The sequence below is a fragment of the Homo sapiens genome, chromosome 6 (assembly GCF_000001405.40).
Source record: "Homo sapiens chromosome 6, GRCh38.p14 Primary Assembly".
Taxonomy (NCBI): domain Eukaryota; kingdom Metazoa; phylum Chordata; class Mammalia; order Primates; family Hominidae; genus Homo; species Homo sapiens.
The window spans coordinates 91,020,726-91,037,223 of NC_000006.12; positions in this window are offsets into that span (position 1 = coordinate 91,020,726).

Sequence of the window (16,498 nt, forward strand, 5' to 3'; positions counted from 1 at the left end):
CCCTGCTCTAGGGCCAAACAACTGAGATCACCCTTTTTAAGCCTTCTCTCAATAGAGGTGGGGGAAGTTTTCAATCTGCTTGTTCAGCACTAAGACATTATTTAGTCTGAAATTACTAGCAGGTACAGTCACTGTACTTTAAAAAGCACAAACTTGGGTTTTTCCCTTGCTCTCTTGAACTTTTTCTTCCTTCCATGTAGTTTATTTCTCTGCATCTCTGAGACCTGGGTTACTTTTCTCTCTTTCTCCACGTGGCTGCATTAGTTGACTCAGATACATTCTTGGGGCCCAGTGAGCTTTCACTTTCTCTTAAGTGAAAGCATAGATAGTCCCATGTGGATCCCATTTCTCCTTATCTTTCATCTGACATCTGCATTTGACTTGAGGACACTTACATGGCCATCAGTATGTTCCTTAAAGATAGCCCATTAGTTCAATCTGCTAAAATCTTTTTTCTTGTTAATTCTGATGATTTTATCCAACATATTAAATGATATTCCAGTTACACATAATTTTCAAATGTTACCAGCGGAGTATCAATGTCTTTAATAAAACTTGTTCAACAGATAGAATTGAGTGCAGAACTTTCCATTATGCCATTAGACTCAGTGTACCAACATTCCTAACACCTATCTCTATGTTTAATGCTTTGTTAATTCAGATCTGCCATGTGAAGAGCATTCCTCATGTATATTTATCTTTAGCCAAAGACCAGAGTCTCCATGTTGAATGAACCTTTCACTGTGAACCTACTCATCTCAGTATTGATTCATCTTCTTACAAATCCATAATGTATAGATTGCATCAAATACATTATGCAACAATCCCTTAGTCATTTGGAATCAATCAGAGAGACTCTGAGTATATCTTTAAAGTGCTTTCTGATAATGAAATCTATATAATCTTTTCTTGAATTTTAGGTTAGAAAACTCTGAAGCAAATTTGAAGTTTAGGCCCAATGCCTGTGCACTATTTTGTGGGTAGTTTATTTGAGTCCTCCTATTATTCTTGGTTCTATATTTTATTCTTGATGGAATTGATATAGAAAGGGGGCAGGGAAGTGCTGGGAAGGGAAGGGCATGGTCCCTGGCTACGGCTCTACCCCTGAGCCTGTGCCCATGGACCTGTTTGAGGACAGGCACTCCTGCCTTTGCGCCCAAATGTTGTATTTCCGAAGAGCATCCTGCCCTGCCACGCCGCTATGCTGTGCCTATAAAAACCCCGAGACCCTAGCAGGCAGACACAAGCAGCTAGACGTGGAGAGGAACACATAGGCGGACAAAGACACAATTGGCTAGACATCAAGAAGATGTCGAGGGTAGCACGCTAGGAGAAGAGTGCACAACAGACGACAGCAGGCCATCTACCAGTGGAAAAAGGCAGAGTTTGGCTGGGGCAGTCAGAGGAAAGCCCAGGCCATCAAGCTGCCGGACTCCAGAGAAAAACCATCTCCCTTCTGGCTTCCCCATCTTCTGAGAGCTACTCCAGTCAATAAAACCTTGTACTCATTCTCCAAGCCCATGTGTGATCTGGTTCTTCTCGTACACCAAGACAAGAACCCCGGGACACAGAAAGCCCTCTGTCTTTGCCGTATGGCAGGGGTTTAATTGAGCTAACACACGCAGCCTATGGACAGCTAAACTAAAAGAGCACCCTGTAACACACACCCACTGGGGTTTCAGCTATAAACATTCACTCCTAGACACCGCTGTGGGGTCGGAGCCCCACAGCCTGCACATCTGTATGCTCCCCTAGAGGATTGAGCAGCGGGGCACTGAAGAAGCGAGCCACTCCCCTTGTCACACGCCCTGCGAGGGGACAAGAGAACCTTTCCCATTTCACAATGATGTTGTCAATGGCCTCCAATCTGTTTTGGATAGAAGAAGGAATAAATTAAAAATGTGTCTGTGGGTGTGTACTTAAAAATATTATTAGTTACTAATTCTGGAAATTTTAAACTGAAATATCGTTCTATCAGCTCTTCATCTGAAGTTAATCCAAAAGCACTCTCTAGGAATATTTGACTATACCAAATAAGAAAGCACCCTCTGAAATTGCTTTATCATCTCATTCTTTTAAAGAAATAACATTTTCATGAATAAATTTAGAAGAAAATAGATATAGGTATATACTTTGAACTGTGGTACCAATACACTGACTATCAAATCATCAGCATCCATATTCTTTATCTGTATGAACAGATTGTTAGTGATTTATCATTTCCTAGTCTCATTCTTACAGTGGTGATTTTTTTTGGGGATATGAAGGAAAAGGTTGAATGGGAGTATCTCAGTTTACTGAGCCTTAAGGCATGAGTCCATAAGGAATGAGTCCTTAAATAGTTCTTAATATGATCTTCTTTCTTATGTGCTGAACAACCAGCAAATATTTATGAATACGTATTATGTGCTACATATGATTTTAGGCACTGGAGACAGGCAGGTAAGACAGAGTTGTGGATAAATCATATTTAGCTTTGATTGTCCCTTATGTAGAGAAATGGATAAACCTCAGCTGATGGCAGCTGATACTTCCTTGCCATTTGAGTTCCCAGTACCATATCATGCAGAAGTTAAATAACTCCAAATGTTTCTAGAAATTTCCCTAGGGAGTGTATATTTTCATGATTACTACTACTGCCTGTATTCATGCAAGCTTTTAATGCTTCCCTTTCACCTAGATATAAAATTCAGTCTCTTCCACAGTTTCAACCTTTCCACTGTCTTCCTCATGTTGAACACATACATACACACATATGTGTGCACACACGTAACACATCCATGCTGAGAGGAGATATTTCTGAATGTGTATTTATTTATTTGTGGGGAACCAGATAAGAATTACATTGTAATGATATAAACAACCTCAAATTGAGCATTTCTTCCTGTTGACCACCTCAGAACTTAGTAGCTTAAAACAATGATTTGTGGTTCTTTCTCATAGTTCTGTGGGTTGACTGTGGTCATCTGAGAGGTGATCACACTTGAGGTCTTTCAATGTGGTTGAAATTACATGTCAGCTAAGGTGCAGTCATTTGAAGTCTGCACTGAGATGGACAGCAAACATAGCTCACTCACATGGCAAGCAGTTGATGCTGGCTGTTGGCTAAGAGTTTAGCTGGGGTTTTCAACTGAAGCACCTGCAAATGGTTCTCAAGTGGCCTGGTATTCTGTTATGGCAGTCCAAGCAGACTAATATAAGGAGTGAATTCCTTCACGTGCTAAACGATTGGCTCGAGTTAACTTCTTCAAAATTCATATAAATTGTACTCCATCTCATCTATAAAAATAAGATACTTTTTTATCTCAGATGGGCTGGCCAGTTATTTTATTAGACCTTGTTTAGAAATACATGCTACCTTTTCCCTCAGTAGCCTAAAGTGCAGGGCTGGGGTTTCTCAAATTAATCCTTTGTGTGAAGAATGACTTAAGTTTAGACAGTTAGGTATGTTAATCACTGATGTTCCCGGTTTCATCTTATTGATGAAAGTGTCAGAATAGCTTGAGAATGTTTTCAGCAGTATCAAATCATCATTAACTACTAATACAACAAGTAGAAGTCATCTACGTAGGCAGATTTAGACACTCAATATTTTAATGTTATATTTCTATTTTACACACACACTCACACATGCACACACACATATGCACACACACAGTCAGCCATCCGTCTCTGTAGGTTCCCCATTTGTAGATTCAACCAAATATGGACTGAAAATATTAATAAAAAATTGTGTCTATACTGAAAATGTATAGGTTTTTTTTCTTATCATCATTCCCTAAACAATACAGCATAACATCTATTTACATAGCATTTACATCACATTAGGTATTATAAGTATTCTAAAAAATGATATAAAGTATATGGGAGGATGTGCGTAGGTTATATGCAAATACTATGCCATTTTATATCAGACACTTGAGCATCTGTGGAGTTTGGTATCCTTGGGAGATCCTGAATCCATGGATACCCAGAGATGACTCTCTCTCTCTCCAAAGTAGAAATATGAATGTAAATTAGAAATATATATATTAGAAATATATATGTATATTTCTAAGTATGTCTCTAAATACTGCTGCTAAAATCATAACAAGAGGAAAGGATCTCATGAGATGTGATTCCAAATCATATCAAACAGGCATCTTAATGCTACTCTTTTAAAATATTTATTAAAACAACTTGATAAACAACTCAGAGACCTGGTTCTGTTTACTGTAAGCTATATAACCGTCACTTTGAAGCACAAAACAGATACAATTCATGTAATGTTTTAGAGTCAAGCTGGAACTGTGGTTTTAGAATTTCCACCATATTTTGATGGTATATGAATAAAAGGAAATTGGAGCTGTAAAGGATATTGAACTGCATAGTTATCCCAAAGAGATTCCTTAAGATTGGCATTCTCCCTTAGGCAGAGGGCATACTTTATTTTTAATGTTAGCTTGTGTTAGTCAACAGATAACTTACTTAGGTATTTAGAGATGTATTTTGCAGGTAAAATATTTTCGTTGACTCAGTGGCTTGTTTCATACTCAGACTATGAGGTAATAAGCAAAGACCCACTGATACTTCTTCACTTTATTGAAGGGAGGAGACAGTTGGATTAAAACCTTTTCGGGCTCAGGTTCTATCGTTCTACACTGTATGATGTAGAAAGGTAAGATCACAATGAATCAATAGTAAAGAAATATGAGAAAATTAAAAAAAATATATATATGTATATATTCTGCATAAAAGCACATGCCCTTTGGCCTGATGTGGATGATGGTCATGTTGTACTTGTAATTAGGGAGAAAAGCAGATTATAAAACACTGTGCATATTATGACCTTATTTCAGTTAAAACATAGTAGTACATATAATTGTGTAAAAATATATTGAATTATTAACTCAAGGGAGATCTATAATTTCACTTTGCCTATACCTGACTAAGGATTGCGTGTTTGTGTGTATGTGTGTGTGTGTGTGTGTGTGTGTGTGTGGTGGATTTATATGGAAATCTGTATACCAAAATAAGTTCGCTTGGAGTGGCAGGATTTTAGGTGATTCGTGTGTATACATTGTTTTATTTCTCAAACTTTGAACAGTGAGCAAGTATTGCTTTTCTAATATGATAAAATTATTTTTTAAAAAGTAAGCCATCTATGTTTTGTCTCTTAAACTTCCACTATAGTTAACTATAGTTAATTTGTCTCTATTTTCATTTTTATCAAGGATTATCTTTCTCTATATAGTTAGATTACCAAAAGCAAAATGGCTAGACTCCATTTTATCAGACTTTTACAAAAATACCTTCATTGAGTTACGATAAAATGGTGTGCCCTCTGTTGATGTGAGAATTGTCCTCTTGCCCATTATATTTATGCCTTTGGTAAAAAAAAATGTAATTTTTGATTTTATCCATTGTATGAATGTGTATTTATACAAGGATTCTTACCATAAATTCCTACATGAGAATAGTTGCAAAAGCAGATTTCTACAGATGAAAGTTTTATTCTTTTTGTTATTAGGGTAATAAAAACAATGTAATGCAACAGGTTTCTCTTTTACCTTATCTACTAATAAACTTAGTGTTGAATCAATTGTCCAAGAAATGTAATATTCTCCAATTTAATTACTGAAAGTTCTGCTACTTTTGGGTATATTCAACTTATTTGAAATACAAATGTTATGTTGTATTGTGTTTAAATATGTGAGTTATTTTATACACTTTCAGACATAGTTGTGAAAAGCTTATAAAATTGCTAATTAAGGAAAATGATGTGCAGAACCACTACCTATACACTTCATTCATTCTTTTATTTATTCATGTGTCAGAATATCATTATACAGGAATGCATCAATAAGCAAAACAGAAAAAGATTTTTACCCTCATGGAGACAAAAAGGGAGCTCAGATAATAAGCATGCTGAATAAATAAATTACATATTATGTTAGAATATGAAATATGTTATGAAAAAGAAAAGTATGGTATGAGGTATTAACATTATTAAAAATGCTTTATGCCACAATAGTAATAGGTAAAATACCCTTAGTTTCAAGAATCTCAGTTAACATTGCATATGCTTTTACTGGAATATTGTTTAAAATGTGTTAATTTGTCATTTTGGAACATGGTATTATTAAGCAACTATCTGCCAAGCAATGTACTAGTTGTTGGAGAAATTTTGGTAATATGATGGATGTGGTCTCTGCTCTCATGGAATTCTAATGTGTGGTGAAGGCAGATCTAGCTGTAGGACATTATGAGAAGGAAGATGGGATGGGAAAGTGCAAGTTGTATGCACGCGTGGAGGTAGGGCCGTTGACCTTGTTTGTGGGAACAGGAAAGGCTTCCCTTGATGAAACAATTATAAGATGAAAGTTGGAGTGTTTGCTGGCCAGGAAAATAGTGGAGATCTCATCCCTGGAAGATGGAATCTGTATCTAAACCCACAGAGGTGAAAGAGAGTAGGACAGACATTCAGAGAAACAAGAGGCTGTCATTGTGGCTGGAGCAGGGAGTCTGGGGGCAGAGGGGGTGAGGGCGGAAGGACGACTTCCCAGGAGAGAGCTAGGCAGGTGCCAGGCTAGGAAGGAGCTTTAATTTACACTGAAGGGTTTGAGTTTATGCTAAAGACAATGGAAAATGAATGAAGGATTTAGAGCATAAAGGCTTTTGGAACAACTGATGGACACTCACTTGATACAATTCCATCTTTCTCAGCACTGTCCCTTTCCAATCAGCTCTGTGGACTAGTTCTCTCTCTGTCATTAGAGGCAATCTCAGCCAGTTTCCATAAATTCTCCACTCACTCTTAAATACTAAAAAGATGGGGTCTTTTAGTAATATTGAACTTCTTTTTCGAGTCTATACTTCCCTCTGATTAGCACTTTTCATGCTATGTTCCTGGTCAAACCTCTTATCAGAAATGATTATGCTCTTTTTCAATTCTTCAGCTCCTTCTTAGAATTCTACCTGATGAAATCTGACATCTGCACCCACTTTCACACTGAAACTTCCCATTCCATGGTCATCCATGACATGACTCTTTAAACTTGGCTGGCTGGTATTCAGTATTTATGTGACTGATCAGTAAGTTGTGATGTTTTCACCAATGCCTCCTTATTGAAATAATCTCTTCACTTGGCTTCCGTGACACCACATTTTCCTAGTATTTTTCCATTGCATTTTAGGCCATTTCTTGTGAGTTTTATTTGCAAATTAGTATTCCCTTCTATTAAACATCAGTTAAATTATTGGTGTTACTCGGGGCTATTTCCTGGGCCCATGTCCTTCTCACTCCTCGCATTCTCCCTGAGCAAATGCATCCACTTCCCTAGCTTCACTTACTGACTATATGCCAATAACCCCAACATCTGTATCTCAGAAAAGCATTGTCTCTTCAGTTCCAGAATGTTTGAAATAGCTATAACGGAGAATTGGAAAGAGTGCCAACCAGAGAAATATAGCATCGTATCTGGACAGTGTTGATATTGGTGACTGTTACTTAATGTTGGCAACAATCTGGCTAGTCTAATAGACACTGAATTTTCTGTATTTTTTCCAGGTGGGTGGACAGAAAGACAATAGGAAAAGGAAATTGATGACATGGTCAACAACATTTGCAGGGTGGTGGGACTAACCTGCATAGGAAAATAAAACCGATAGGAAATTGATTAAAAAATAGAGAGTAAAGATTGGCATGTGGTTTGGAGATCCTAAAGAACAGTTTATTTGTAGTAATGTATAAGAATGCTGGAAGGTTACAACGTTGTGGTGGCAGAGTGAGATGTCTGAATTTATTTCAGAAGTAGAGGAGTCAGAGTCTCTAATACTGGCATAAAGTGGATGGCTGCATATGAGTGCAAGAGAATGTCTCTGGAGATAGAGACGACAAGGAACCAAGAAGCCACATTATTGAATGAGCCATCATGTGCATATTGCATCCTATTTGTAGGATAATACTGGATCCTGGGCTGGAGACAGACTTGAGAGGATGAAGAATGACCCAGAGGTCTGGAGATGACATGGATGAATTTGTGGCATTACTGATACATAGCAGCAAATGTGTTGTGTTAGGCAATATACAGCCAAGAGATTTTTCAATTTACACATATTCCATCTTTTTTCTCTATTTTGTTGTGGTTGGTAAGAGGATAAAGTCAGAGGAGTGTGATATTTTTCTGACCATCTTAAAATTGTTGTCATATAATTAAGTACTGCAATTTCAAGGGTCTTTGCACAATGCACAAGAAAGTGTAAATAGCTTACTGGAACCTCATTAGAATCAGTATTTTAAAAATATTGACAGTATAATATCATTCACCTGTGTTTATGCCTTCCCAGACTTGTGAAGTGATGATTAAATGTTTTCTGTTTCACACCTAAACCATGAGGGTTAAAAAGCTATGATGTTGAGGAAGAGAAAAACTTTTAGAATGTGCTGTAATAAGCCACTGAGATTTTTTTTTTTCAGAAATTTATTTAACAATGCTGCCTCAAAATATATGGGTAATTTTCGACTTTTTTTTTTTTTTCTGGACAGAGAGTGAGGTAAGAACCTCTATTTTGAGCACTGGCAAAGGAGAAATCCAAGGTCGGTGTGGTTTTCTTATTGATAATGTGTTCCTGGGCACATTGGCAAAGAGCCAAGCTCATCTTGCATTCTGGCCATTTGAGTCTTCTGTTCGTGAGGGAGGGAGCAGTGTGCCCAGGAATCAGGGCAGTGTTTCCAGCTGGTGGTAATAGCGGGGATCACGTTACAATTTTAGGAAAATCTGATACACTGAGGGAACCACATTCCTGACAGCAAGTACTGTACTTTCAGTAGAGTACAGTGAGGTGTTAGGATGTCTCATTTTCCCGGTAAAGGTTTTATGTAAACTGAAATGTCTTTCTGTGTATCTATTCACCTAACACTGCCAAGAGAGAAAAGAGGATTGAAACATAAATCTCATCTTATTACCACACCTAAATTGTTCCCTCTGATTCTGTCTTGATGCCTGACTCTTGCCTTGTTCCCCTGGCATAATAAATTTCTTAACCTAGATTCTCGATAAAATCCTCCATAATTTACTTTTATCTTAGAAGTTGTCATAAAAATACACTGACAACGCACAGCCCAAGGTGGTGTGGAATGAGCTACGTTGATCTGTTTGTATAGATAGAGATACACAACTGCTCTCAGATGGAAACATAGTGACTTTCCTCTTTGTTCCCATAAAAGAATATCTACCAATTCCAGAGAGGTTTCAGAGTGGGAAAATACGTGAAAGTCTTTTTACATATAGGAGTTGGGAAATTGAACTGGATGAAAATTTACTTATCTGTGAGTATGGTTGTTTATTTCATTTTGTGCACGTCTGATATTAATATTTAAACAACTAAGGAAATCATGTAGAAATGAGATCTTCACATATAAATCTGCTAAGATGGCACAGTTAGAATACTATTTTTAGAATAATAAGCCTAGTGGTTAAAGTGTCATGCACTGAAGATTAAGTACAGGAGGAAATTAATCGGGAGACAAGCACAGGGTTATGCGGAAGAAATCTCAGCCTCTCATTAGTGGAGTCAATCAAGAATTTTCAAGGCACAGTTTTTATCCCTGGAATAATCTTGGGGTCCCTATCTTAAACTTCAGGGAATTCTTCCACATTTGTTATATTTATATCCTTTCTTAATTAAAGTTCTCAAGTGTTGAAGGGTACAAAATTAGAAAGCATCTTTGAGGTACTCAGCACCTATGGGATGTTTCTATATTTCAACTGAGCCTTTGTGCTTTCATTTTCAGGCACCCCTTGACTGAGAATATGTCAAATGAGATGTATCAGTAACTGTTGTTGACTTTACTAAGTACCTTGAAATGAGAAAAAAAACAAAGTAGAAGAAGAAGAAAGAAAACAAAAGAAACAAACAAACAAAAAACAAACAGCAACCAGACTAACAATTGTTTTTTCCTAGGGTATGTTAAGACAGGAAAGTTTGAGGAAGAACTAAGGCAGGGGTAGCTGATGGATTCGGGTAGAGAAAAATATTTTCTATTTATTTTATTGCAGAGTCTGAGGTAATATTTTTCTCCCTGACTCCCTTACTTTCAAAATGAAGTACCCAGCAAATACGTGGGGGGTTTCATTTGGAGTTCAAAGCTGATTCAACATTTTGGCCCTGAGAAAGAAGTGGGTAATTGTGGAGAAACTGCTGAATAAATCTGCTTAAGCCCCAGTGCTCTGTTTACATGGATGGATCTTTTCCGAACAAGTGCTTTCTTCTAGAAGTCATTGATGGAGCCCACAGTGTGAAAACTGAAAAATGAGGCAAAGAAATACATGTATCTTGCTTCAAGTCGGGCAGCAGGACAGAATGAGAGCAGTGAGGATGGAGAGGTGGCTGCCATGGATAGCAGGGGCCATTGTAGGGTTCGCCAGAGATCTCAGGGATGCCTGCTGTCTCCTGCCTTCGGCTCCCAGGGGAGTTGGTCATGGTTCTCCTCCAGCTAACCCATCCCATGAAGCAGAAAACCATTTATTTTTCTGTTGCCAAAGAAGAAAACAAAGTGAGAAGAAAGAGCTAGTTAGGGGAATATCTGCAGGAAACGTAACATCTTCCCCCAACTTAGTACAGCCTTGGATCAGACTTTCCTGATCTCCATTGTCACCTCCTTACCTTATACCACATTAAGTTTCCTAACTGGTTTCCCTGTTTCTGGTCCCTCCACTTTAAGTATATTCTTCATCCCCCAGCCAGAGACCCAGTTAAACCATTTTATTTCCTGAGGTAAAATCTTACAATAGTCCTTTTTGCCTGCAGGAAGGAGGAATCTTCTCAGAGAAGCTCCCAACTTGTCCCCCTGTTGATGGCTCCTCAACCTTGTTTCTCACTACACTTTCCCAACTTCCTGCTCCGTCACACGTCACACGAACACTGCAAAAGCCTGTGCATCTGTTCTCCATAGAATTCCCTTCCCTTCTCACTAATAACTGCTCTGTTTCCTTCAAACCACAAGGGCTAGCTGCTTCCTCCAGGAAGTCTTTCTTAATCCCTTTACTGCTTCTCCCAGTAGGAGCCCAATGCCCGTCACCTGTGCTTCCCCAGGAGCTTGTCTGCTACAGATTACTATGGAAGAACTGGTTTCCCCACTGTATGGTGAAACCTGGAGGGCAGGCAGGGACTTTGTCTTTTTTTTTGTCTGAATACTTGCTTTATCTGGCACAGAGCAGGAACCCTGTGAGATAGTCAATGAAAATAGACTCACAGAGGCATGCTTTTGGTTTATGGCTGTAGCTGTTATTTTCCAAGCCTAGCATTATTTGCAATTCTTCCTTTTAGGCAGACACTCTTGATTCCCTTACTGAAAATTAATAGCTACTATTCCTAATGCCTTCAGGCAAAGTTTTCTCTGTACTATAATTTCTCAACATTTCATAACCAATTCCCCATTATTTGAAACTTCATAGCAATGTGTCTTTAGGTTTTCTTCTGTCTATAGTAAGACAGCTATAATATACTGTCAGGAAAATTATCTGGAACGTAGAAATAAGCAAAAGAGAATACTGGGTGTTCTTTCAGAACAGAATTGAACTTGATTTTTAAAAAAATTATTGGGTTATTTTAAAATCATATATTGGCAGAGGTTAACTTGTAGATTTTTGTCATGTAGAACCGATAACCCTAAACGTTTTGGTTTATGGCTCTGTTAGACACTAACCAATTTCATATCTAGCTCAGAAATCTATTAAATTGTCTATGTGTACCTAGCTTCTTCAATGATCTTTGGACCAGTTTTATCATCTTGCTGGCTACCTCATTAATTAATGAGTTATATTCAACTCTTGACATGCATTCATTTTATGTTTGTCTGAAAGTTGTGATTATACCCTTTTGACAATTATTCCTTAACAATAAACAGTAGAAAAATACTAGTCTTTTGGGGAATCAAAAATTTAATTCTGAATCTACTCTTACTGGTTTTATTTTCTTCTCAGCCACACGAAAGAGCATTAGTTCTTTATCTGCAAAATGAGGATGCTTGGCATTGGACAAGAATTAAATATCACATAAAATAAACTTGCAAACTCTAAAATGAAACAAAAATAGTACATTGTTATTTTCTATGGAGTTGCTATTTAAGTATCTTGTAGACTTTTTGTGTATTTTTGACCCAGTGAGACTTACAGCGACAATCTCAAGAAATCAAACACAATTAGAAGAATAATTGAACACATTACTTTTTAAATCATCTGCTCAATTTTCTTAATTTTAACTTGTACAGATACAAGGGGACCAATGTCTATTTTTATGGGTATAGAAATATAGGAGTTATTTAAATAAACTAATCAGTGCAAATAAACTTTTCCTGGCTATTTGTTTTAAGCATAAAATATCTGTGAGGTGGGGCTTGATGTTTATTTAGCAGAAGACTCTCTAAGAGCCTCATTTCTTAGTAAGAATCAACTTAGTCCTTAGGACAACAGCTTCCACCTCTACAGTAAGCCCTGGCGGCAACCTGGGAAGTGGAGATGTGGTTTTGTGTGTGTGTTTTAAAATGGATATGGCCAGATTTTGTCCGAAGAAAAGATTCTTAGTCTATATTAAACATTTGAAAAATAGTGACCTAGAGGATTTACATTTGGGTAAAGGAAGATTGACGGTAAACTCATTCATGACCATTGTGAAATATGAGGCAGGATGACAGAAATATTATTTGGGGCGTAGACATTTTGTTTCTGTCTTTAAAAAAAATCTTAAATATGGATTATAAAATGAATAATTAAGGAAATAGACTTAAAGCATGTTCTGATATGAGATAAAATTCAGCAAGAAGTACAGTTTTAAAGATTTTAAAACAGCAAAAATATATTTAAAATGTGATTGTGTTAGTTTAAAAAATACATTACTATGAATCTCAAAAATGTCTAATTTGTACAATACATTCTTTTTTCAGTCTATTTTCTCTCACACTAAATATTTACCTTACAATGTTAAGTGGCTTAAATGAGTGTCCCTCTCTCTCTTTGTCTCTCCCTCCCCTCTCTTTCCCTCCCTCTCTCTCCTACTTAGCACATAGTAGGAGATCAATAAATTAGTCACTCATATTGTTGACTCCTCCATGAATGTGAAAAACCTTAAGAGTCCTCTAGCATTAAGAGAGAGGAAAATATGATATTTTAGTCTACCAGCATACTGAATTTGAGGCAATTTAGGTCTATCACAAATAAGTGCTTGGCTGAAGTTGTTATATCAGCTAACTAACTCTCTTAGGATTTTCCTTGAAAGATAAAATAGCTAAATAATAAACATTTATAAAGCACCGCTGGTATGCCAGGAATTCTGCTAGGTGTCAATTCAACTAAGAAGAACATATTATATAAGCTTTGAAGGGTCTTTTAGAAAGAGAGACACATAAACTCAAACCTCCACACTATACGGTGGTAGGTACTGTATGCAACAGAGGAATGTAGCTGCCTCCTGGGAGCACAGAGGAACAATTCATTCCACCTGGGGGTGGGATGGATGGCAATTTTAGTGTCATAGGTAGGCTGATGGAGAATAGCCTTTGAATTCTGCTTTCATTCATTTCTTGGGAAATTGTTTGTTGCACCCATTACTGTGTGCAGAACACTATGACTTTCTGCTCCACTGATTGTTTATTGAATGTTTAAGAGGGCCCTCAGTGGGGAGGAGAACTTGGTGAAATGTTAGACTCTTGAAGTCACACAGGATAAGGTTTTGATCTATTATTTAGGAATATGGAATACATTTTGGGGGAAAATTTTGCCCTTGAAGACTAGAGAACATGGTGACACACAGGCTAAGGCCAAAAATCCCCCAGAGCCCTGTGAAGGGGGTTTTAAAGTGCTGCTAATTACCTCTGATTAAGAGCATTTGCTACTCCTGTTACACTCCCTAAAGCCTGAAAAATGGAAGCTCTTCTTTCAGCGAGAAAAGGGCTGATAGATTTGATTTTTCTCCTCTGTGTTAGTACTCTAAAGTCATAGGCATCAGATCATCTATTTGGAATCCAATTAGTGAATATTTAGGGCTCTGATCTTCCCCTAGTAATCCTAAAAACATGACTGTTCTATATAGCAAGGATTTAACATGGATTTTGTAGCTGGTGACAGTGCCGGAAATATCAGATTATCTGTGACAACAACAGAAGCTTTCCTCTTTCTCAGCTGGGATCTGCCACAACTGAAACTACCTGCTGTCCATATTTGACTTTCTAGAAGCTCTATATTAGGGTCTGCAGTGGGATGATTCCAAACCAATAAGCTAATACCCCGGTGTTGTGTCTTGAGGCTTTCTGGTTGATTTATATCAAAGGTGTGACTGGAAGCCTCCCACCTAAGACAGTTTTTTACTTTGCCTGCTAAGTGTTTTCAGTCTTGCAGGAGTGCCTGAAATATACCTGATAATCCTTTATTTCACTGGGTAAAAAATGAATAAATAACCAAGGAAGTCACATCACTAAAACATTGCTTTAATTTTATAAGTAATTTTCAAGTTTCTATAGAGTATTTACTCTCCAAATGTGAAAAGGAAATACAGATAATTTAGAAACCCCTTTAAACCCAAATTAGAGAGGATATTTTTAGCAGTTAAAAGGAAGTCATCCTGCGATTCAAGTAATCAGGATGACTGGCAGGATAAACAGGAATGCCTTCTATCGATAACAGAGGTTGTATTTTCTTTACCCAAGTTATGTGCTTTAAAAATTGTCAGTTAAATTTTCTGAGGTCATACAATATTCTGATTTAAAATATTGTGGGACATTTCATGGATACTCCCACTGATGGATAGAGATGAGTGTATAAATAAAAGCACTGTGAAAGCAAGAAGGAGATTGTCAACTGAAACACGTAGGAGCCAGCTTCATTACTTTAGAGATTCATAACACAGAACAGTGTCCAAGAGCCTCTGTGAAAAAGGAGACAAATGTATTTTATGTTTCTGACACCTATCTATTGAAATGACACACCAACAAAATTCACCTGGCTATTTTCATTCTTAAAAATAGAATTCCCAAATGGATTTGACGATATGTGTCCTTAAAGACAAGGTCGAAACCATTCACTTTTATTTCTAGTTATGAATTAGTATACCAGTTTTTTCAATCAATTAATACTAGAATGATTTGATTCTGACATGCAAGCTGAGTAAAAAAATGAGTAAGGCAAAAGTCTCCATAGAGTTATATTTTTGCTATCTTATAAAGTCTAAGGGGACAGAGAACTTATAACTCTGCTTTTAAGATAGGAAACAATGCTGATAACAAGAGAAGACTGAAAATAAATGAGAACTTGCTAATGCAATAAAAGGGGGAAAGATACTAAGACACTCCTCTAACAAAGCAATGGAAAAATATTCCAAAGGAGATAAATGAAGAACGTGAATAGGAAAAGATTTGTGCCTCTCTCATGAGTGGGTCTCTTTTGTTTGCAAATCATATTGCTTAAGAGAGGCTGGGAATGAAACCTCCACCTTACTTTTGAGGCTAAAAAGACTTTTTAATATTATGAACACATATTATGTAGAGCTTAGAAGGGTGGTAAAGGGAGAAAAAAAGCTGATTTCAATAAAAGGAAATGCTGAAAGAAGACATTTTTGTATAAATTATATGCATTGTATAAATTACAGAAAAAGGGCATAAATTAGAGAAAATTTTCTGTCCACAATTTCTGTGGTGTCCACCCTGAAGCCTGAATAAACCCATCCTTGGGAGAAGGTGGGGTGAAGTGGCACAGGGGATCAAGTAGTGGTTGAGGCACCCAGCACCCCTATATGTGGATTCGGGTGTCCAACAGATCAGACCTCCCGTCTCCACACTGAGGCTGGACAGCTGTGGGACTTCCGCTGGGCTGCTTCGCATCTTAAGCCACATTGCCTACACCTGAGAAATGAACTCACAGTTCTTACCCCACAAGGCTTTTTGAAGATGAAATAATATAATGCTTGTAATGGCCTTACCACAGTGCCTAGTAAGCTCTCAATAAGTGGTAGATGTTATTACCATTGTATTTACTACCGTCCTGATCACAGAAAGGAAAGGGCCTACTCAATGAAATCTGACTCTTGTTATTGCCTTAGTTGCAAGTTTGACGTCAAGTCTCTGTAAATATTTGCTCCCCAGAAGATCTCTGGGATTCCACGGTTTGATTTGGTATCTGTGGTGGCTGTGGATACATGAGATGGCAGGAAGAAGAGCTTGTGGGGGACTGAAAAGTTCTTTGCTAACCCAGGGTTCTTATAAAGCCTTTGGTTATGACCAGTTTGTTTGACAAGAAGGCTTTTCACTTCTTCCTGACAAAGTGTATCTTTTCCCCACCTTTCCTCAGCTTTCTACGCTGATTTAGCTGTTTCGTTGGAAAGACAGAGGCCTGTCTCAATAAAGACCAAGACCTGCCTGAGTCAGGATCTGACACTTCCTAGATGGGTTATCTTTAGCCAGTTACCACTTCTTTTAGAGCATCAGTTTCTCACATGTAACATGGGAATATTAACTTCTATTTGCCCA